The following is a 21,706-nucleotide window of genomic DNA, read 5'->3' as shown; positions in this document are numbered from 1 at the left end:
TTGAAGGCAAGAGGTGAATACAGACATTGTATACCCAAGGCTCCCAGAAAGAAGTGGGAACAAATCTCTTTTAATCAATTGAATTGTGACTCTGAAGTTGCAGGGCACGCATTCCTCACACCAGGCTAGGCCCAGTCACTCAGCTACCCAGCAAGAGTTTGCAGATGTGGGTTGGAATCTATGGCGTGCCCTCTCTGTCTAGCGCTATTGTTTCCCAGACAAATATCAATGTAAACTTTCTACAAGGCCCTCACAGAAACTAGCTGCACAAATGCCATAACCTTATTTGAAATATGACAAAAGTAATTATCCTTCCCTTTCATGTGAAAACAGGAACTCTGTATTTTTAATTGACAAGCCAGAACTTACAATTTCTAGTTATTGTTGCCCCTTCTAAATGCATTAACATGTCTCCCCAAAATGTAATCATTGCTGAAATCATTTTTGAAACTCTTCTCTGGATTGGGGCAGCAATGGTAATGTAAAAATAACATTGGGAAGTAAAAAATCAAGACTGGGCCGGGCGCGATGGCTCACGCCTGTAATCCCAGCACTTTGGGAGGCCGAGGCGGGCAGATCACAAGGTCAGGAGATCAAGACCATCCTGGCCAACATGATGAAACCCCGTCTCTATTAAAAGTACAAAAATTAGCTGGGCGTAGTGGCGCACGCCTGTGATCCCAGCTACTCGGGAGGCTGAGGCAGGAGAATCGCTTGAACCCGCGAGGCAGAGGTTGCAGTGAGCTGGGATTGGGCCACTGCACTCCAGCCTGGTGACAGAGCGGGACTCCATCTCAAAAAAAAAAAAAAAAATCAAGACTGAAGTCTTAGAATAAGTTGTATAACTTGAGTGAGTCATTGAGCTTCAGCGTTTTCAGTTATAAAATGGGATTGATAATACCTACCTTATTGGTTGCTGAGGGGACTGCACAAGAAAACATACAGGAAAGCATTGTCTAAACTACAATACACCACATATATATGTAACATATTATCACTGGTCTCCCCGAGGTCTTTAGAATTTGCATCACATTCTTTTTAAAACCCTCAGTGGTGACAAAAATACTCATCCACTGAAAATAAATTTGATTTCTGGAAAAAAAAAGTTATTCAAAGCCAAGTCTATGTGATCAAACTGAATACCATTTTTAGTCCAAAACAAGATGTGACTATAATTTATCTTATTATAGTCATACATTATATGACTGTAATATAATGAGTTTCTAAACTTGATCTGATGGTATACCAAAAAGTTTCATAAATGTCTAGGTAACAGCAACAATAAAATAGATATATAACTTTGAATGGCATGATGAATAATAATTTGTATACAAAAGTTCTGGTTAATGATTATTACCACCCAACTACCAAACTATAACCTAAGTCATCCTTGATTTCTTTTCTTTCACCACCCCCCCCATATGATGGCATCACCCAATCCTATCATTAACAGCTAGGAAAATTCATTCCAATCCATTGCTATAGTCTATATCCTCTTCGTTTCTCACTAGGACTGTAACAAGAGCTCCTGAACTGATCTCCCTCGCACCAATCTCTTACATATCATTCAATAACACCAACACTAATTTACTGAAAAATAAATAAAATAACATGGTTTCATCATTCTCCTGCCTAAAAGTCTTTAACAATTTCCCGCTGCTTACAGTATAAGATCCAAACTGTGGGCAAACAACGCACTTCACAACGTGGCCAACTCTCTGGACCTAACCTCCCACAAATTCCTTTCAATCCACTGTAATTCTGCCACACTGAACATTACATTATGTCCAGCTACAGCAAACCATCTTTTGACCACATGCCTTTGCTCATGCTGTTCTCTGAATAGAGCCTCCCTCAGAGCCTGTTAAACTCATCCTTCAAAACTCAATTCCTAAGGGCCGGCGTGGTAGCTCATGCCTGTAATCCCAGCACTATGGGAGGCCAAGGTGGGTGGGTCACTTGAGGTCAGGAGGTTGAGACAAGCCTGGCCGACATGGTGAAACCCCACCTCTAGTAAAAATACAAAAATTAGCCAGGCATACTGGCACACCCCTGTAATGCCAGCTACCCGGGTGGCTGAGGTAGGAGAATCACTTGAACCCAGGAGGCAGAGGTTGCAGTGAGCCAAGATCACACCACTGCACTCCACCCTGGGCGACAGAGCGAGACTCAGTCTCAAAAAAAAAACCAAAACCAAAAAAAAAAAAACAACCAATTCCTGGATAGCAAGATCACTTCTTTAGCCTTACTTGCTATATCTGCCTTGCTCTCACACTTGTTCATATCTATCAATATTTCTTATGTGGTTTAATAATTAATCTATTTATCTCCCTGCTAGACTTTGAGCTCAAACTATCAAAATATTTTGGATCCATAGTACCACAGTACTTTATTTATTTATTTATTTATTTATTTATTTTAAGACAGAGTTTCGCTCCTATTGCCCAGGCTGGAGTGCAATGGCACGATCTCAGCTCACAGCAACCTCCACTTCCCGAGTTCAAGCGATTCTCCTGCCTCAGCCTTCTGAGTAGCTGGGATTACAGGCATGTGCCTCCAAACCTAGCTAATTTTGTTTCTGTTTTTTGTTTGTTTTTGAAATGGAGTTTTGCTCTTGTCACCCAGGCTGGAGTGCAACAGCACAATCTTGGCTCACTGCAACCTCCGCCTCCCAGGTTCAAGTGATTCTCCTGCCTCGGCCTCCCAAGTAGCTGGGATTACCAGCACCCACAGGCACCCACAACCACGCCCAGCAAATTTTTGTATTTTTAGTAGAGACGAGGTTTCTCCATGTTGGTCAGGCTGGTCTTGAACTCCTGACCTCAGGTGATCCTCCCGCCTCGGCCTCCCAAAGTGCTGGCATTACAGGCATGAGCCACTGCACCTGGCCTTGGATCCACAGTACCTATAATAATGTCTGACACAAAGAAAAAGGTTAAAAAAAATAAAAATAACAAAATAAAAAGGTTTGTGAATGAATATGCTTATTTTAAAAAGCAGTTTCATAAATTGAGAGTTAAACCTTAATATTTAGGGGCATTTCACATACGGCATTTAATACAATGAGTACTGGCCAGATAGTTAATGACTCTTGGTGACTTTGTGTTTAAGGAGCATGAACATTATTACATAGAAGCCTAGCTGTCCTTAGCTTAGTTCTCTAACTCCTTGGCCTTGGCAAGTCATTCCTTGACTGAGTGCCAATGGTTTGTGTTACTTAGCTGGTTGTTCATCTCTAGCTGGTCCCTGAACTGTTTAGAGAACATACAAAATAGAGAGCATATATTCAAAAGCCATGACAATACAATACTCTGATAACTAATAATTCTTAATTAGCCAAGCATAAACATGTTTATATGCGGGGGAGGGGGAAGGGGAAGAAGTTGGTCAAAGGATACAAAATGTCAGTTAGAAGGGAGGAATAAGTTCAAGAGATCTATTGTATAACACAGTACAATTTTTTTTTTTTTGAGATGGAGTCTTGCTCTGTTGCCCAGGCTGCAGTGCAGTGGCATGATCTCAGCTCACTGCAACCTCCGCCTCCCAGGTTCAAACGATTCTCCTGCCTTAGCCTCCCGAGTAGCTGGGACGACAGGCGCGCACCATCACACCCGGCTAATTTTTGTATTTTTAGTAGAGATGGGGTTTCATCATGTTGGCCAGGATGGTCTTGATCTCCTGACCTTGTGATCTGACAGCCTCAGCCTCCCAAAGTGCTGGGATTACAGGCATGAGCCACCATGCCCAGCCACAATTGTTATTATTATGTTATTATGTTGTTACATTGGCCCGGCGTGGTGGCTTATGCCTGGCTCGGTGGCTGATGCCTGGCTCAGGTGGATCACCTGAGGTCAGGAGTTCAAGACCAGCCTGATCAACATGGTGAAACCCCGTCTCTACTAAAAATACAAAATTAGCCTGGCATGGTGGCACACGCCTGTAGTCCTAGCTGCTTGGGAGGCTGAGCCAGGAGAATCGCTTGAACCCAGGAGGCAGAGGTTACAGTGAGCTGAGATTGCGCCACTGCACTCCAGCCTGGGCGACAGGGTGAGACTCTGTCTCAAAAAAAAAAAAAAAAAAAAAAAAAAAAACCACACACACACACACACACAAAACCAAGGCATTGCATACTTGAAAATCACTAAGAATAGATTTCAAGTGTTCCCCCACAAAGATGTAATGCATATGTCAATAGCTCCACAAGGTACACATATTTCAAAACATCGTGTTGTACACCATATATACAATTTTTATTTGCCAATTAAAATAAGTAAATAAAAAAATTTTTTAAGTTTAACCAAAAATAAAAATAAAGGCCAAGCGTTGTGGCTCATGCCTGTAATCTCAGCACTTTGGGAGGCCGAGGCGGATGGATCATGAGGTCAGGAATTTAAGACCAGCCTGGCCAAGATGGTGAAACCCCGTCTCTACTAAAAATACAAAAATTAGCCAGGCGTGGTGGCGTGGTGGCAGACCCCTGCTGTAATCCCATCTACTCAGAAGGCTGAGGCAGGAGAAATGCTTGAACCCGGGCAGGGGCGGTTGCAGTGAGCCAAGATCGTGCCACTGCACTCCAGCCTGGGTGACAGACCGAGACTCCGTCTCAAAAAAAAAAAAAAGAAAAAGAACCAAAAAAAAAGAGACCCCCAAAAAAAGAACAAAAAGAAAAGTTTAACCAATATTTCTCTTAAGTGGGCCCAAGTTATTGCCGTTTGCAACACAAATGAGGAAACCAAAATCATGGAATCAATGACCTTGACTTGTCCAAAATAAATGTAGAACCAGAAATCAGCTCCTAGGATTTCTCAGAAGGTATTTTCCTTTGAGGTTAAATCAGCACATTATAAACAGTTCCAAATCCCTCTAGTGAAATGGAATTAGACTGGGAACTTCTATCAAGAAAAAAAAAATTTTTAATTCCTCATTTATCCTCCTAAAAAAATCCCTTATGAGAAATGGAGGTGTCCTTTCCACGAGAGCTTCAGATTACCACTAATGAAAAATATACCTTTCTTGGCATTGAATCCTAGTGTGGACTATGGGGAAAAGAAAGAGAGATCAGATTGTTAAGGTGTCCGTATAGAAAGCAGACATAAGAGACTCCATTTTAATCTGTAACCCTACCTCCAACCCTGTGCTCCCTTAGACATGTGCTGTGTCAACTCAGGGTTAAATGGATTAAGGGCTGTGCAAGATGTGCTTTGTTAAACAAATGCTTGAAGGCAGCATGCTCATTAAGAGTCGTCACCACTCCCTAATCTCAAGTACCCAGGGACACAAAACACTGCGGTAGGCCGCAAGGACCTCCGCCTAGGAAAGCCAGGTATTGTCCAAGGTTTCTCCCCATGTGATAGTCTGAAATATGGCCTCGTGGGAAGGGAAAGACCTGACCGTCCCCCAGACCCCCGTAAAGGGTCTGTGCTGAAGAGGATTAGCAAAAGAGGAAGGAACGCCTCTTTGCAGTTGAGACAAGAGGAAGGCATCTGTCTCCTGATCATCCCTGGGCAATGGAATGTCTCGGTGTAAAACCCGATTGTATATTCCATCTACTGAGATAGGGGAAAACCGCCTTAGGGCTGGAGATGGGACATGTGGGCAGCAATACTGCTCTTCAAGGCATTGAGATGTTTATGTGTATACGTATCTAAAGCACACCACTTAATTCTTTACCTTATGATGCAGAGACCTTTGTCCTTCTCTCCACTATTATCCTATGACCCTGCCACATCCCCCTCTCCGAGAAACACCCAATAATGATCAATAAATACTAAGGGAACTCAGAGGCCGGCGGGGATCCTCTGTATGCTGAACGCCGGTTCCCTGGGCCCCCTTTTTTCTTTCTCTATACTTTGTCTGTGTCTCTTTCTTTTCCAAGTCTCTCGTTCCACCTAACGAGAAACACCCACAGGTGTGGAGGGGCGACCCATCCCTTCAGTGGACAGCGCTGCACAACTCAAAATGATACTGTATGGATACACTTAATGACTATAATGATCCTCAGCTTTTAAACACTAATTCCAAAACTCCTAAAATGAACTGTTTGGAACCAATATGATCACTTCAAACTAAATGTTAATTTTACCAAAAGCCCCTAACATCGATACCAAAATATATCAGAGAATTCAAAAGCATTCAATTATGGTCAAACCATCTGGAATAAAGAAGACAGCACTGGCAAGACAAGCCTTGGCATACCTTAGACAGAAGATACATATGGAGATGAAAAACAGGGAGAAAATGAAGGATTAAGATAACCCTGATTTCAACTCCAAGAGGAATCATTTTGTCACAGAAAAACTAAACAAAGTCCCTCTATTTTTAAACTGGGTGACTGAAGTGGAAAGAGAAATGAGAACACATTTGGGGAAATCAGGGATTGAAATCTCAACAGCATTGAAGCTAACTTTCCATAACAAACAATTTCCAAAAATAAGGCTGGCACAAAACTATGCTGGGATTTGTACCAGGCGTGTCTAAAGGCGCTAGTCGCTGTGACTAGAGAGGCTGAGCAGAGAATGAGACCTAGACAGCGGAAAGTTCAGAATGAAAGAAAATCTAGGGTATTTCTCTGGACAACTAATTCACATTTTAGAGAAAAACTGGGACACTCACTCTCCCTCCCAAGTAAAATGATTAACTAAAAATGAATTCCCCGGGTTGCTCTGGGGCAGCAGAGGTCCGCCCTGGGTGCTAATGCTAATCGCCACCCCAGTAGGGATCCACCCTTTGCCAGCAGCCCGCTGGGAACCCAGACAGCGCCCACTCACGGTGGGAGCAGCTAGTGTCTGAAGGCATTCGAAGCAAAGGCAAAATACACGAAGATCTCTCTCTCCGAAGCTAAATGTCTAAATACGCTCTCGAAATCGTAGGACCCATGGGTGGCTGACCTTGAAGTTATTTTCTCAGAGCTCGGCTCTGGGTGCAGGCCCGAGAGCAATTTGCGTTAGAAGTACTAGAGGAGGTGGGGAAAACAGAAGGGGCGAGAGCCGAGGGCCCCTCGATACGAAGTCAGTGACCCCGAAGCCCTACGGAGCGCACCGGAGCGGCTGGGGGGGACGGGAAAAGGGGTCTCTAGGATCCCCGAGCGCTTGGCCTCCACACCCATGGGTCCTTTCCCTGCCCAGGCACAGGATAAACAGTTATCAGCAAAACGTGAGGGGCCAGTTCAGATCTCCGGAGGGCCGCAGGCACCAACTCCCAGTCCCACTGAAGTCACCTCAGCAACAGCGCAGCCATCTTGGGTTCCGGTCTGGACGGAAGTGACGCCAGGCGGCCCCGCCACCCGAGGGCGGAGGCGCGCCGGCTGGGGGTCGGGGTTGGGGGTGTCATGTGACGAGAGTCTCTTTAAAAGGCTCTGGAGCTTCTCCGCTCAGCTCTGCCTAGCTGGTTTGCTGGTTGTTTTCTGGTTTTTTAGTCTCCTCCTCCGCCTCCTGCAGCCGACTTCTACCGGAATTTGCCAGGATTTCGGCAGAAACGCCGCTGGCTCAAAATCTGCAGTCTACGTTCCACCTGCGTACATATTCATTTTGTATCGCACTCCCAAACAGCAAACGGCGGACTTGTTTAGATTCTTCCTTAAGGACTTCGCAGTCTGTTGCGTTCCCCCTGCCTCCCAGGTCGGCCTAAAAACGTGGTGGTTGGCCGGTTGAGACCCCGAAGAGAAAAGATACTTTGGGTTCCCTCCCTTTCTAATACGAAGCTTTAACCAGACAGATACATAAATTGTGACCTAAGTTGGGGAGTGTGTAGAGGGGCCTCGAGAAGACCTTGCGGACCACCATTCCCGAAAACGAGGAGCCTCATCTAACCACCTCGATTAGACCCCACAATTCCTGGGTTTGAGCTGCCACATGGACCAGGCGCCCACTAGCCGAGGACAATGCTCCCTTGTTCGTTGTTTCAGCGCTATGTGGGTGACACCCACAGCTAGAAGAACCCGGAGTGAGGGGAAGAACACGCTTTGATTTATATATGTGTATATATATATATACAGTTTTAGGGAACCCAAGCACAGGAATCAACTGCCGAGCACTCAAGACTGAAGAAAGAAGAAGAGCAAATGATAAAGGAAGGGAACAGAGCACAAAAGTTCTTGACTCTTGTGGGGAGTAGGGTGGAGAGGAGTAAAAGGGACAGGCTAGAGCAACTCCTATTTCTACAAAAAAAATACTCAATTATATTAATATTCAGATCTTATGTATATTTAGCATCCCTGCACTTCAGGATTTAAATAGCACAAATTCACTTATTTCTGCATCAGATGAATAATACTACTTTGCATTTCTATAATGCTTGACAAAGCACATTCGTACACTTTAGGATTGAAAGAGGCTCTCTAATCCAATCTACTATCTATGCAGGGATCTCCTCTGCAACACCCATAACAGCTGATCTTCAAGACTCTACCCCCCCATATTCAATGATGGGTACCTCAAACAACAAGTTTTATTTAATGAACAACTTATTCGTTAGTTATTATATTTAAATACAGTTTTGTGCTATCGAAATTCCAGTCATTGACTTGGCTCTCTGGAGCTTCACGTTAACAAACCCAAGGAATGCCTTTTTCACTCAGATCTTTTTTGGTTTTTCTTTTTCTTTTTCTTTTTCTTTTATTTTGAGACGTAGTCTCACTCTGTCGCCCAGGTTGGAGTGCAGTGGCGCTATCTCAGCTCACTGCAGCCTCTGCCTCCCAGGTTCAAGCGATTCTCCTGCCTCAGCCTCCCCCCAAGTAGCTGGGATTACAGGCCTGCACCACCATGCCCGGCTAATTTTCTGTATTTTTAGTAGAGATGGAATTTCACCATGTTGGCTAGGCTGGTCTAGAACTCCTGACCTCAAGTGATCCACCGGCCTCGGCCTCCCAAAGTCCTGGGATTATAGGTGCGAGCTACCACTCCCAGCCCACTCAGCTCTTTAAATATTAATAATTTCATTTAGCATGTAGTTATGGACTTTTTGTCAGTCCGTGAAAAGTTCTGTAGGGGATTCAAAGATACAGATGTTTGTACTGTCCCCAAGAAGGTTATAGCCTTAGCAGGATCAATAAAGACATGCAACAAAGAAAGTAGCAACAACCCATTGAAGAGGGTGTTGATAAAAGGGGTGGTTAGATAAAGAGGAAATGATTGCTTACAGTTGGGAGGTGGAGTTAGGTGGAAATTTTGGAGGGGAGAGTTTTGGGGGTTTTTTTTTTTTTGTACTTTGAATTGCTGTTTTATAGAAATGTTGACTACAACATCCTGTAAACATTTGTCAATGATGATGGTTTTGCCTATGGACTTCATAAGCAATCCCATATTTAGAATTCCACAACCCAAATCTAATACTAATGACCATACCCACCAGGGCTGTGGTCTAATGAGATGCCAGGAAGGTACCAGGACACTGTCCTTCACCTGGGTGAGCCTGCAGTGGTCTCATAGCAGGAATAACAATGACCACCCCACTTACATTAACTTCTAGAGGTCAGGCACGGTGACTCACACCTGTAATCCCAGTACTTAGGGAAGCCAAGGCAGAAGGATCACTTGAGTATAGGAGTTCAAGATCAACCTGAGCAACACAGTGAGATCCTCATCTCTACAAAAAATTGAAAAATTAGCTGGGTATGGTGGTGGCTGCCTGTGGCTCAGCTAATCTGGAGGCTGAAGTGGGAGGATCGCTTGAGCCTGGGAGGTTGAGGCTGCAGTGAGCTATCATTGCACCACTGCACTACAGCCTGGGCCACAGAGCAAGACCTTATCTCTGAAAAAAAAAAAAAAAAAATTTTAAACTAGCCCAGCATGCTGGCATGCGCCTGTAGTTCCCAGCTACTTGGAAAGCTGAGGTAGGACAATTGCTTGAGCCTCAGAGGTCAAGGCTGCAGTGAGCCATGATCATGCCACTGCATTCCAGCCTGGGCAACAGAGCGAGACTGCCTCAACAAACAAAAAAACCTCAGCTCTGGTTATGTAGACATCCCCATGGCTAACTCCACCCCAACACCTTCAGGTTCTCATGATGTACCAAATTGAATTCACCTTCTTTCACCTGTCATTTAAGGCCTTTCACAAACTGGTTTCGACTTTCCTGTCCAGTCTCATTTCTGACTATGCCACTTCAAGTTTCCCCAAATCAAGTCAAAGTGGATGGCACAAGATCGGCCCTGAATATATCCAACACTTCAGAAACCTACATCTCATATACATACACACACACACACACACACACACACACACACACACACACACACACACACACATTCTGTCTCTCCGTCTCACCTCTTTGTCCTTGCTTTTGCTGTTCTATCTTCTGGTAACCCTCCCTATCTCCCTTTCCAAAATGACAGTCATCCTTCAAGGCTGATTCATATCTAACATTGCCTCCTAGACACAACTATTCTTCCCTCTGAACTATTTATTTGTTTGATTATTTATTTATTTATTTATTTTTGAGACAGAGTTTCATTCTGTAGCCCAGGGTGGAAAGCAGTGGCACAATCATAGCTCGCTGCAGCCTTGATTTCCCAGGTTCAAGCGATCTTCCTGCCTCAGCCTCCCAAGTAGCTGGGACTACAAGCATGTGATAACATGCCCAGCTGATTTTTTAAAAAATTTTGGTAGAGGCGAGGTCTTGCTATGTTGCCCAGACAGGTCTCAAACTCCTAAACTCAAGCAATCCTCCTGCATAAGCCTACCAAAGTGCTGAGATTACAGGTGTCAGCCACTATGCCTGGCATAAACTTCATTTATTAAAGTTTATTTTGTCTTTAATCTCTCATATAACTTAGTCTTCCTGATATTGCAGCTGTGTGTGCCCCTCTTTTGTACTCCCAGCATTTTGTTCATTACTAAAGGAAGTGTCATGGCTTATTATACTTGATTGTTGATGGGTTTGTCCTCTGATCTTCCCATCTCCACCTCCCCAAACCAAATTTTCAACTCCTTGCTGGAAGGACTTAATTTTTATTCCTCTCTCTATTACCTGCATTCTCATACTTTACATATTGCTGGCACTTAATACAATTTTGTAGCCTTGAAATAAATTGAAATGGACTTAAACAGCAGCATGAAGCACTGAAGGACTTCTTGACAAACGGAAAGGTCAGGGGCTTCTTGCCTGGAAATAGTCCAGTGGAGAAAAACTTCTGTCTGGGAAGAATCGCACAGGATGAAGGGAGGTGCGGGGAAAAAAACTCCCATAGGACTTGGTCATCTCAAGAAGTCTGTAATGCAGCCCACATTAGAGGAGATAACAGGGGATATCCTATTTTCAGAGTTCTCTGGGGGAAACCTCCCTCTAGTTCCTAGGGCTGTGAGGCAGCCTCTCTCAGGCAAGGAGGCTGAGGAGAAATCCCTTTTTATGGCCTTTAAATTGAGGTTCCATATCTATCCCTCAGAGAAGTGTGTCTGTGTCCCTGTTTTTGTCCCTCTCCCTCACCACCCCCCACAACATTCCAGCCTGGGGCAGGGGGAGGCCAGTGGACACAAAGCCCTCTGTGTATGGGGTGGTATGTGTCCCCCCACCCCTCCACCCAGACTATACAATGCCCCTTCTGCTCCCTGCACTCTGCCCCCCTCCCCACCACCTCTCAACTGCACATGCCAGGCTGCAATTGGTTACTGGCTGAGGACAGCCCCCTCATGCTGGGGCCCTAGGGGATTTTAAGCAGGTTCCAGGAACCCCCCGTTCAGTTCCTGGTCCCCCACTTTCTCAACCCCACAGATGCTCCGGGCCCCTGCCCCTGCCCCAGCTATGGCTCCTGGGGCTCCCTCATCCAGCCCCAGCCCTATCCTGGCTGTGCTGCTCTTCTCTTCTTTGGGTAAGTGGAGCCACTCTACTCTGGGAGTCTTGGGACTCAGGTGTCTCTCAGCAATCCCCACAGCCTTTGCTGCACTCCCCACTGCAACCAAAGAAAGAACAAGCAGGAGCAGGAAGGTGACATTATATTCAGAAAGAAAAAATATGCGGCTGGGCATGGTGGCTCATGCCTGTAATCCCAGCACTTTGGGAGGCCAAGGTGGGATAATTATTTGAGCCCCAGGAGTTGGAGACCAGCCTGGACAACATAACCAGACTCCATCTGTAAAATTCAAAAAAAAAAAAAATATATATATATATATATGAAAAGAAAAAAATATGCATTTAGAGGGAGGAAGTAGAGGTTTTATTTTAAAAGAAAGGGTAAAAGAGAGTGTAGCAAGCTTCCCTGAGTGGTGGCCATGGCTGGACCCAGGTTGGAAATAGTAGCATGCCCCCAGAGCCATGCTAACAGCCTGGTGGGAAGCAGTGTTAGATTACATAAAGAAATAGGCTCAAACACCTGGGTTTGGTTCCCACTCGTCCCCTAGCAGTGCAGGAGGTGCCTTAACCTTAGTTTCCCAGAAGGAAAAAGAGAGTGCGATCTAAGTAAGGAGCCCAGGTTTGTGGTCTCAGCTCCTCAGATTTTTTGTCTCTCTATGGCTCCTCACCTGTTGTGTGGGTGAATGGAGTGAGGTTCTATGAGATTCTGGGATCTTATCCCTCTAAAGCTGTCTTCCTTCATAAGCTGACCAGCCCTTTCCTTGCCCCCTGGCAGATGTTGGGTGAGTAAGAGGTCAAAGCAGGATTATTGGAATGGCCCCTTCCCTTCTCTGAACTGCCCTGAATCCTAGTGCAATGAGTGAGCCATAGGCAAGTGGGGGTGGTGGGGAGGACATCAAGGGAAAGGGGGCTGGCCAGAATGCCCAGGGTTCTCTGCTGTCAGCTGCTTGAGCCCTAGACTCTTCTGGGTTGTACTGGGCTATTTGGGGGTACCCTGAGAAAATGTTAAAGATAGAGAGTTGGAGAAGGGCATAGTGAGGGAAATAGGGGGAAGGAATCTTGATGTATAAGGAAGAGGGAGAGTTGTGTCTCAACACTTGTTCCACTCATAGAACCATTGAGCACAGCTGAGAAGGGCAATGGTTGATATTGTAACAGGAGGAATAGAAGTTAGAGCCAGTGAATTATCTCCCTTGTTAAACAAGGGGGATTCCCAAGAAGGTTCTAAGGTGGAAGTTCCAGAAGGTAAGTACATGGTATTGCATGCTGAGGTGAGAGATTCAGGACAGTTGGGGTGGGAGTAGGGGTGGCATGAGCCCCCCAGCGTTGGTCAGACAATGGAACTTTGTTTGGTTGCCACCTCCCCCTCCTGTAGAACAAAAAGGTCTACAGTTGCCCCTCCCTGGGGCCAGCCCACACACATAGTCTCTCTGGAATGACCTTCCTTGTGTGGGTAAGTCTTGGGGATGGCACTGGGCCACAGTGGCCAAGAGGAAGGTGAGGACAGTTGAACCATAGAGGGCTCACATGTAGGGTCATCTGAGCTGTAGGCTTGGGGTGTTGCTCTGCACCCAGCTGAGAGGGGTATGAGGCCCTTCCCTTCCTGACTCTCCAGTCAAGAGCAAGCTGTATGGCAACCAGGGATTCAGCAATGAGGACAGTTGTGCCAGGGAAGAAGACTTATATTTTCTAGTTATCTTCATTTTTTTCTGCAAGAAATCTGAGTTTGCTGTATTGTGAAATCCAATGCAGCTGTTAAAATAAGATTGATATCTATGAATCAACAGGGAAAGCTCCTCCAGATACGTAAGTTCTTAAGCAAAAAGACACTAGAATACAATGCAATATGTATGTGGAAAAAAAAACTCCACAAAACTATTTGTTGTAAGTATGTGTATATCTTGAGTTTATTGAGTTTATACTGAGTTTGATTCATATTAAATGGATAACTTGTTACATCTTGGAAGGGAATACAGGAAAGGAATTTGTTGGGCTAAGTGTCAAAGGAGACTTTTGTTTTATTTCTATTGCTTGAATAGTTTATAAGAAGAGTACAATATGTATTACCTGTATAATTTATAATAAATTTTAAAAATTTAGAACACTGCATCTAAAGGATAGCTTAAAAGTTAGATACTGACCCAAAGGAGAAGTGAGACTTAAAGACAGAACCCAATCTCTGGAAGTCCTCAAGAGAATTCTGTTACTGCTGATTTCATCTTCTCTACAGACATGCTAAAGAGCTTGACAGACACAGCATTTATGCTCATCTGTTCAGTTAGTCCCCAGAGACTTGGGGCTCAGAATTTGTTGTTTCTTTTCCAAATTGGCCTCTGACCTGTGACTCAGCACTTGATTTCCTACTGATCTCACTTCCTCTGTATCCCTTACTGGGCCCATAGGTGCATCTGATTCCCCACTTTGTGCTTGCAGTGCTGTCCCCGGCCCAGGCCATCGTGGTTTACACCGACAGGGAGGTCCATGGTGCTGTGGGCTCCCGGGTGACCCTGCACTGCTCCTTCTGGTCCAGTGAGTGGGTCTCAGATGACATCTCCTTCACCTGGCGCTACCAGCCCGAAGGGGGCAGAGATGCCATTTCGGTGAGTGCCTGGGGGAATCCTGGGGTTGGATAACAGAAAGTGCTTCAAAGAACAACAAAAAAGATAACTTGGGCTAAGGAGGGGGAAATCCTTTTTGAGCCATAACCCCAACTTTGGCAAGGTAAATGACAGTCTTTGTCACCCTGACTACATTGTCCTCCCTTCTCCAGCACTACCCTTTCCAGCCCAAGATCCCTTACCCTGAGGCTGGAGCGAAGCTTTTTTTTTTTTTTTTTTTTTTTTGCTTTTTTCTTTCTGTAACAAATTATGGAGCTAAGCTTTGACAGCTGTGTTCTCATTAGGGTCCTCTCACATGCTTCCCCTCATTCCTCATAGATCTTCCACTATGCCAAGGGACAACCCTACATTGACGAGGTGGGGACCTTCAAAGAGCGCATCCAGTGGGTAGGGGACCCTCGCTGGAAGGATGGCTCCATTGTCATACACAACCTAGACTACAGTGACAATGGCACGTTCACTTGTGACGTCAAAAACCCTCCAGACATAGTGGGCAAGACCTCTCAGGTCACGCTGTATGTCTTTGAAAAAGGTGTGAGAAGGGATGGGGACAAGGGTATGGGAAGCAGTTTGGGAGGGGATCAGGGAGGACTGATAGGTTGGGGGAAGAGGCAAAAAGCCCGGCCTAAGGACCTTTATTCAGGCTCTGGGAGCGTGGGCAGAAGGCAGTTTTAGCTGGGAGTCCTACATCCTCAATGCAGGGCATACACTCGGACTAGGAACCACAGATACAGGGCCCTGCTCATTCTCCCACTTCTTTTCCCACCCCTCCTAGTGCCAACTAGGTACGGGGTCGTTCTGGGAGCTGTGATCGGGGGTGTCCTCGGGGTGGTGCTGTTGCTGCTGCTGCTTTTCTACGTGGTTCGGTACTGCTGGCTACGCAGGCAGGCGGCCCTGCAGAGGAGGCTCAGGTAAGGGGCGGAGCCTAGCTCCCCTCCCCCTCTCCCCACTATCCCCCATCTGGGCGGAGACTACTCCAGTGGGTGGGAGGGCCAAGGGGAAGAGGAAGCTGTGTCCGCGGTGCAAGGGGTTCCGGCGAGGCCAAACGTACAGCAGTCTCTCTTCTTGCAGTGCTATGGAGAAGGGGAAATTGCACAAGCCAGGAAAGGACGCGTCGAAGCGCGGGCGGCAGGTTAGCGGGACTTGGGGCCTAGACAAGATGGGAAGGAGAACCCTGGGAGCCGCCGGGCAGCAGTGAGGGGTGGGATGGGAACAGTCAAGCCCCAGTCGCTCGGTGACTGATGTGTGCGCCCCTCCCCCAGACGCCAGTGCTGTATGCAATGCTGGACCACAGCAGAAGCACCAAAGCTGTCAGTGAGAAGAAGGCCAAGGGGCTGGGGGAGTCTCGCAAGGATAAGAAATAGCGGTTAGCGGGCCGGGCGGGGGATCGGGGGTTAGGGGTGGAGTCCGCCAAAGGCCCAAAGGTGATGGTCATCGAGATGGAGCTACGAAAGGATGAGCAGAGCCCGGAGCTCCGGCCTGCTGTCAAGTCCCCCAGCAGAACCAGCCTCAAAAACGCCCTCAAGAACATGATGGGCCTGAACTCGGACAAGTGATCGCCACCCCCCCACCCCAGGCCCTGCCAGAGCAGGGGGACCTAGGCTCCTCTTACCCCCGTCTAGGTGCTTTCCCTCTTTGCTCCCCCGCCCTGCCCTGCCCTCACCTCCCTTTGAGATGTAAGTTTCATTCCAGAATTCATTCCCCAGGCAATTGTATTCTCCCCCACCTTCACCCCTGGCTTTCTGGGAGCCCAGGAGCTAATCCTACCCCTCACCTGCCCCGGGGGCTGTGTGTTTGGTGCCTGTCCACCTGAGCACTGAGAAGAAAGGGACTTTGATACCCTCTGCCTCAAGTCCAGGCCACCTGGCATTCCCATCTCCTGCATCCCCCAGCCTGTCCCCCTGGCTGTTTCCTCTCCCGTCCCTCCCTCCCCTCTACCAGGTGGCCCAGCTCCATACTCTGTCCCCCCAGCTAATACCCAGAGCACCCAGATCAGACTCTCCTTCAGGGTTTATTTAGGTTATTATTTTTTATTTTTTAATCCATTCTTTGTTTGTTTACCTGTGCTCATCCTCTGCCCTTACACCCATGACTGAGGACCAATGACGTCATGTGGCTTTTGCAATTCACGCCCCCCTTAAGTCCTTAATGAAGAGCCAGCCCAAGTAGAGGGGCCCCTGATCCTCACACTTCAGTATAGCATTGGTTCCCCCTGACCACTTTGGAGCACTGTTCTGGGACTCCAGGTCTTGAGGAGAGAGACAGAGAGAGAGAATGGATCCTCATAGGTCAGGGAGTGGGGGAGGGGGCAAATGAGCCTTAAGAAATGGTTTTTAAACAACCAAACAAAAAGCAGGAAAAACAAATGGGAAATGGGGGGGCGGGGGGGAGGAAGAGGCTGCACTGCAGCCACAGGGGATTCTTAGGATTTTTCTACATTCTGTATATTTCTTCTCAAACCTCCAAATGTCCTTAAATGTTTAATAAACACTGACATTTCCAGAAGCTGCTGCCTTGTCTAGAATTTCCTAGTCCTCCTGGGAATAATTCCTGCCCCTTATCCCATCCCCAACCTTCCATACTTGGCTTCAGTTGTTTAGTTTGTTTTTTTGGGGTGGGCTTATATAGTATACTAGAAAGAACTCTGAAATAGCCTCACAAGACACATTCATACCTTCAGCAAATAATCAGTGAGATTATACTACGTTGTAAACTCTGCCAGTCTCTGCTTTTACATGAGTTAAAACGCAGAATCTGTCTTCACCAAGATCTGAATTTTAAAACATCCCAGCCACTCTCTAGCTGTGTGATCCCCAGGACAGTTACCTGACTTTGGTAAGCTTGTTTATGTACTTGTAAACAACTGAGATAATGATATCTGCCCTGCTTAATTCCTAGGGATTTTATAATAATCAAATGAGATCCTGTGTATGGAAAACTTTGTAAACTGTAAGTTGATATACAACTAAATATTAAGGTGTTCAATATTTGTTTCTAGTGCTTGCCTAAGGTAGTACACTTTACAAATTAGCACAAATCCCATTCACCTCTCTAAACAATCACTGCTTTGTTTTGTTGGTACATGATTTTACTTCTGTTTACCTATTAATAGGTATACTATTAATACCTCATTAGCTAGTTTGTTGGTATGTTGATTTAGGTATACCATTAATATCCTGGTATCCTGAACTGATTGTGGAAAAACATATACGTATCATTTTCCCCTGGGGATTACTGATGGCACAAAAAAACCCAAAGTGCCCACAAGTAATTTCTTCCCCTTGTTAAGAAGCTAAAGATATGATTAACACCAGCTTTACCAAAACCCAGAGTGCTTCCATTTGTTTGAGGGGTGTCTTCAATGTCTTTTAAAAAAAATCAATCTGCCTTCATTTAAATATAAAAGCTAATAGAGTATATATAGCCTTTTGTTGGGGGGAAGTGGGAGAGGAAACTTAGTCACAACCCAGTAATAAAGTTGGGAATATCTTAAGCCCAAGATTCCTTATTAGTTAAGATGCTAAACTGTCCATTATTCATTAGATAGTTGCAGCTGGGTTCCCTGCTTAAACTTCCCAGACTGTCAGGAGAGTCAAATGAGGTTGGATGTGGTGGCTCATGCCTGTAATGCCAGCACTTTGGGAGGCCGAGGTGGGCAGATCACTTCAGGCTAGGAGGTTGAGGCCAGCCTGACCAACATGGCTAAACACTGTCTCCACTAAAAATACAAAAATTAGCCGAGCATGGTGGTGAACGCCTTCTAACCCTGGCTACTTGGGCAGCTGGGGCACGAGAATTGCTTGAACCGCGGAGGCGGAGGTTGCAGTGAGCCGAGATCATGCCGCTGCACTCTAGCCTGGGCAACACAGCGAGACTATGTCTCATAAAAATAAAAAAGAAAGAGAGAGAGAGAGAGTCAAATGAAATATTATGCTACTTATGAGATAGAGTATAGCTCAAAGCTTCTCATTTAATTACACTTTTGTTCTAAAATTTATCAGCCACCTGCATTTTGCTAGCTCAGTTTATCCAATTATTTTAATATTTCTTATTCCATCAAGAATCCTGGTACCCTGGGACAACATTTTGCAATCTCTTGCATTAGGCATTTTCACAAGCATTGCACACTTAATGTGGGTTTTTCCAGGACTGTGCCCATTTTCCACAATCCCCAACAAAGTAAGCCACATCCCCCCTTTCTTTCCTCTGCAGTAAAGCATTAAATAAAGTCTAGAATAATGATTCAGATAAAGGGAAATGACATTGTTATATGGGAAACTTTGAATCCCATCTAATTATTACTTTGAAATAAATCGTTCACAATCCTCAGTGCGTTGTTAATAATAGCAATAATTTTGCCCAGGCATGTGAGCACTTTGAGAATAATTTAAAGCCTTTTTCAGTGTTAACCATAAAAAGAAAAAGATTATAACCCAATTTATGAATACGCAGACAAAGAGTCTAAATAAAATATTTGCAAAAGAGAATTCCACAATGAGTTAATAAAATAATAAATTATGACCATGAAGAATTTACTCTGGGAATGAAAGAATAGTTCAGTATCAGGAAATTTACTAACAGGATGTGTTATATCATCAGGGAAAAAACGTAATTCTATCAAGAGGAGATGTAAAAAAAAAAAAGCAATTGTTTTTTAGTAGCTATTCCTACAAAACATTCTAAGTAAAATAGTAATAGAAATAACCATAATGGACACTATTTTTCAAAAATCATTTAAAAAGCATATTAAATATGAAATATTGCAGCCATTGTCATTAAAACAAAAGACAGTACTTACATTATCGCTAAAAATATTCAGTATTATATTTGAAGAATTTAGCTAGTGTAATTAACCAAAAACAAGGAACAATCTGTATACATAGATGAGAAACTTATCTTTATTTGCAGATAATATGATTGTGTTTCTAGGAAATCCATAAGATGCAACTAGACATGTATTGAACTAAGAAGTCAATCTGGTAGTGTGATTATAAAATAAATTAATTTCAGTCTATAACTAGAAATCTAGCTAGAAATGAAAATAATAGGGAAGCCCACTGATGACAGTAAAAAGAACAGAAACAGAAATTAACAAGAAAGGTACATAACCTGTATGAAAAAAATTATAAGATTTATTAAGTAACAATATGTGAAAGTTGTCAGAATCAAGATGGAGACACTCGTGTTAAAAAAGAAAAACAGGGCCAAGCGCAGTGGCTCACGCCTGTAATCCCAGCACTTTGGGAGCTGAGGTGGGTGGATCACTTGAGGTCAGGAGTTCAAGACCAGCCTGGCCAACATGGTGAAACTCCATTCTACTAAAAATACAAAACATTAGCCAGACATAGTGGTGCTCACCTGTAATCCCAGCTACTCAGGGGGCTGAAGCAGGGGAATCGCTTGAACCTGGGAGGCGGAGGCTGCAGTAAGCTGAGGTCATGCCACTGCACTCTAGCCTGGGCAACAGAGCGAGACTCCGTCTCAAAAAAAAAAAAAAAACCCCAAAACAAACAAAAAGACAAAAACAAAACAAAAGAAAACCCTGACAAACAGAACCAGGGAGGGCTATGAAGAAACAGGTTCTCATGCATAAATACTTGATAACAAAAGCTATGACAAAAGAATGCAAAATGGGGACTTAGGGGAAAGGGTGGGTGGGGGTGGTGAGGGATAAAAAAAACTACAAATTAGGTTCAGTGTATACTGCTCAGGTGATGGGTGCACCAAAATCTCACAAATCACCACTAAAGAACTTACTCATGTAACCAAACACCACCTGTACCCCAAAAACCTATGGAAATAATTTTTTTTTTTTTGAGACTGAGTTTTGGTCTTATTGCCCAGGCTGAAGTGTGATGACGTGATCTCAGCTCACTGCAACCTCTGCCTCCCGGGTTCAGGCAATTCTCCTGCCTTAGCCCCCCGAGTATCTGGCATTACAGGCGCCCACTATGCCTAGCTAATTTTTGTATTTTTAGTAGAGACGGGGTTTCACTATGTTGGCCAGGCTAGTCTCGAACCCCTAGCCTCAGGTAATCCATCTGCCTTGGCCTCCCAAAGTGCTGGCATTACAGGCGTGAGCCACCGCGCCCGGCCATAAATAAATTTTTTTTTTAATTCTATGAGAAATAAACATTAAACGTTTTTGAAATATTCCCTTCCCCCTCGTTAAATTATTAAACTAAATGATAAATCTATTTGGATTAGGCTATAATCAAATGGCTTTCTGATCTCCTTGCAAATGAATTTTGCCTACTATATTGCAGCCAAATTTTTTCTTTATCTTTGCATGTTCTCACTTATAAGTGAGAGCTAAGCATCGGGTATATATGGACATGACAATAGGAACAATAGACACTGGGGCCTATTTGAGGGGAAAGAAAGAGGAGGGACGGGCTGAAAAAGTACTCATTGGGTGCTATGCTCACTACCTAGTGACGGCATAATTTGTACCCCAAACCTCAGCATCACACAGTATACCAATGTAACAAACCTGTTCATGTACCCCCTGAATCTAAAATAAACGTTGAAATTAAACAAACAAAAAAAATGCAAAAACTGCAACCTTGCACAAATGCTGTTCACGACCTTACACAAAAATTACATCTACAAGGACATCTGCCCAACAACTGTCTGTCAAACCTCCAACTGGCATTGTCTTTATTGATTATTGTAGCAAAGGATAATTATTAATATTTCAAAACAATTATGTGAGCCTCCTCATTTTGCCTTTAAAAACCTTTGTCAGCTGGGCACATTGGCTCTCGCCTGTAATCCCAGCACTTTGGGAGGCCAAGGCAGGCGGATTGCTTGAGTCCAGGAGTTCGAGACCAGCCTGGGCAACATGGTGAAACTGCCATCTCTACAAAAAATACAAAAATTAGCCAGTCGTGGCTGGGCGCGGTGGCTTACCCCTGTAATCCCAGCACTTTGGGAGGCCAAGGCGGGCGGATCACAAGGTCAGGAGATTGAGACCATCCTGGCTAACACGGTGAAACCCCTTCTCTACTAAAAAATACAAAAAGAAATAGCTGGGCGTGGTGGCGGGCGCCTGTAGTCCCAGCTACTTGGGAGGCTGAGGCAGGAGACTGGCGTGAACGCGGGAGGTGGAGCTTGCAGTGAGCCAAAATCTTACCACTGTACTCCAGCCTGGGTGACACAGTGAGAGTCCATCTCAAAAAAAAAAAAAAAAAATTAGCCAGTCATGATGGTGCGTGCCTGTAGTCCCAACTACTCCGGAAGCTGAGGCGGGAGGCTCGCTTGAGCCCAGGAGGTGGAGGTTGCAGCGAGCCAAAATCGCATCA

General features: G+C 45.0%; 2 protein-coding genes across 16 annotated transcripts in view, besides 4 other annotated features; one reads left to right on the top strand and one right to left on the bottom strand.

The window, feature by feature from the left end:
• Window positions 1–7,261, bottom strand: part of SDHC (succinate dehydrogenase complex subunit C) — a 48,826-nt gene extending 41,565 nt beyond the window's left edge. For 12 of the 13 annotated variants that reach the window (NR_103459.3, NM_001407120.1, NM_001407115.1 and 9 more), the window contains exon 1: window positions 7,217–7,261. Coding sequence is in view for 10 of the 13 variants with exons in the window: in NM_001407115.1 (NP_001394044.1) it covers window positions 7,217–7,236 (20 nt within the window). In the remaining 3 variants the exon portion in view is untranslated. Of the gene's footprint in view, window positions 1–6,767 lie in introns of all 13 variants that reach the window. The other variant, NM_001407119.1, reaches the window with a different exon arrangement.
• Window positions 4,634–5,395: an enhancer, noted in NCBI's record as "OCT4-NANOG-H3K27ac hESC enhancer chr1:161286037-161286798 (GRCh37/hg19 assembly coordinates)". NCBI's record gives its function as "activates a minimal SCP1, AML or CMV promoter by ChIP-STARR-seq in naive H9 embryonic stem cells {active_cell/tissue: H9 hESC(naive)}" and the evidence as "EXISTENCE:reporter gene assay evidence [ECO:0000049][PMID:30033119]".
• Window positions 6,922–7,685: an enhancer, noted in NCBI's record as "NANOG-H3K27ac-H3K4me1 hESC enhancer chr1:161283747-161284510 (GRCh37/hg19 assembly coordinates)". NCBI's record gives its function as "activates a minimal SCP1, AML or CMV promoter by ChIP-STARR-seq in primed H9 embryonic stem cells {active_cell/tissue: H9 hESC(primed)}" and the evidence as "EXISTENCE:reporter gene assay evidence [ECO:0000049][PMID:30033119]".
• Window positions 7,211–7,280: a silencer, noted in NCBI's record as "silent region_1476". NCBI's record gives its function as "represses an Ori minimal core promoter by ATAC-STARR-seq in GM12878 lymphoblastoid cells {active_cell/tissue: GM12878}" and the evidence as "EXISTENCE:reporter gene assay evidence [ECO:0000049][PMID:35858748]".
• Window positions 7,311–7,370: a silencer, noted in NCBI's record as "silent region_1475". NCBI's record gives its function as "represses an Ori minimal core promoter by ATAC-STARR-seq in GM12878 lymphoblastoid cells {active_cell/tissue: GM12878}" and the evidence as "EXISTENCE:reporter gene assay evidence [ECO:0000049][PMID:35858748]".
• Window positions 11,674–18,042, top strand: MPZ (myelin protein zero). 3 transcript variants are annotated; one of them, NM_000530.8, is made up of 6 exons: window positions 11,674–11,803; window positions 14,218–14,384; window positions 14,721–14,934; window positions 15,178–15,313; window positions 15,474–15,534; window positions 15,665–16,907. In NM_000530.8, the coding sequence occupies exons 1-6, from the start codon at window positions 11,737–11,739 to the stop codon at window positions 15,764–15,766; spliced, it is 747 nt and encodes a 248-aa protein (NP_000521.2). In that variant the 5' UTR covers window positions 11,674–11,736; the 3' UTR covers window positions 15,767–16,907. The 3 variants fall into 2 exon arrangements, with proteins under 3 accessions (XP_016856810.1, NP_000521.2, NP_001302420.1); XM_017001321.3 differs by lacking the exon at window positions 15,665–16,907 and adding an exon at window positions 17,301–18,042.

Source organism: Homo sapiens, chromosome 1, assembly GCF_000001405.40.
Source record: "Homo sapiens chromosome 1, GRCh38.p14 Primary Assembly".
Classification (NCBI taxonomy): Eukaryota; Metazoa; Chordata; class Mammalia; order Primates; family Hominidae; genus Homo; species Homo sapiens.
Note: the sequence above shows the minus strand (reverse complement) of the source record. Positions and strands in the feature narration are given on the sequence as shown.

Coding starts and splice junctions, on each gene's coding strand:
- MPZ (NM_000530.8), top strand. CDS start 11,737: ATGGCTCCTGGGGCTCCCTCATCCAGCCCCAGCCCTATCCTGGCTGTG. Junction 11,804..14,217: donor GCTGCTCTTCTCTTCTTTGG/GTAAGTGGAGCC, acceptor TTGTGCTTGCAG/TGCTGTCCCCGGCCCAGGCC. Junction 14,935..15,177: donor GCTGTATGTCTTTGAAAAAG/GTGTGAGAAGGG, acceptor CACCCCTCCTAG/TGCCAACTAGGTACGGGGTC.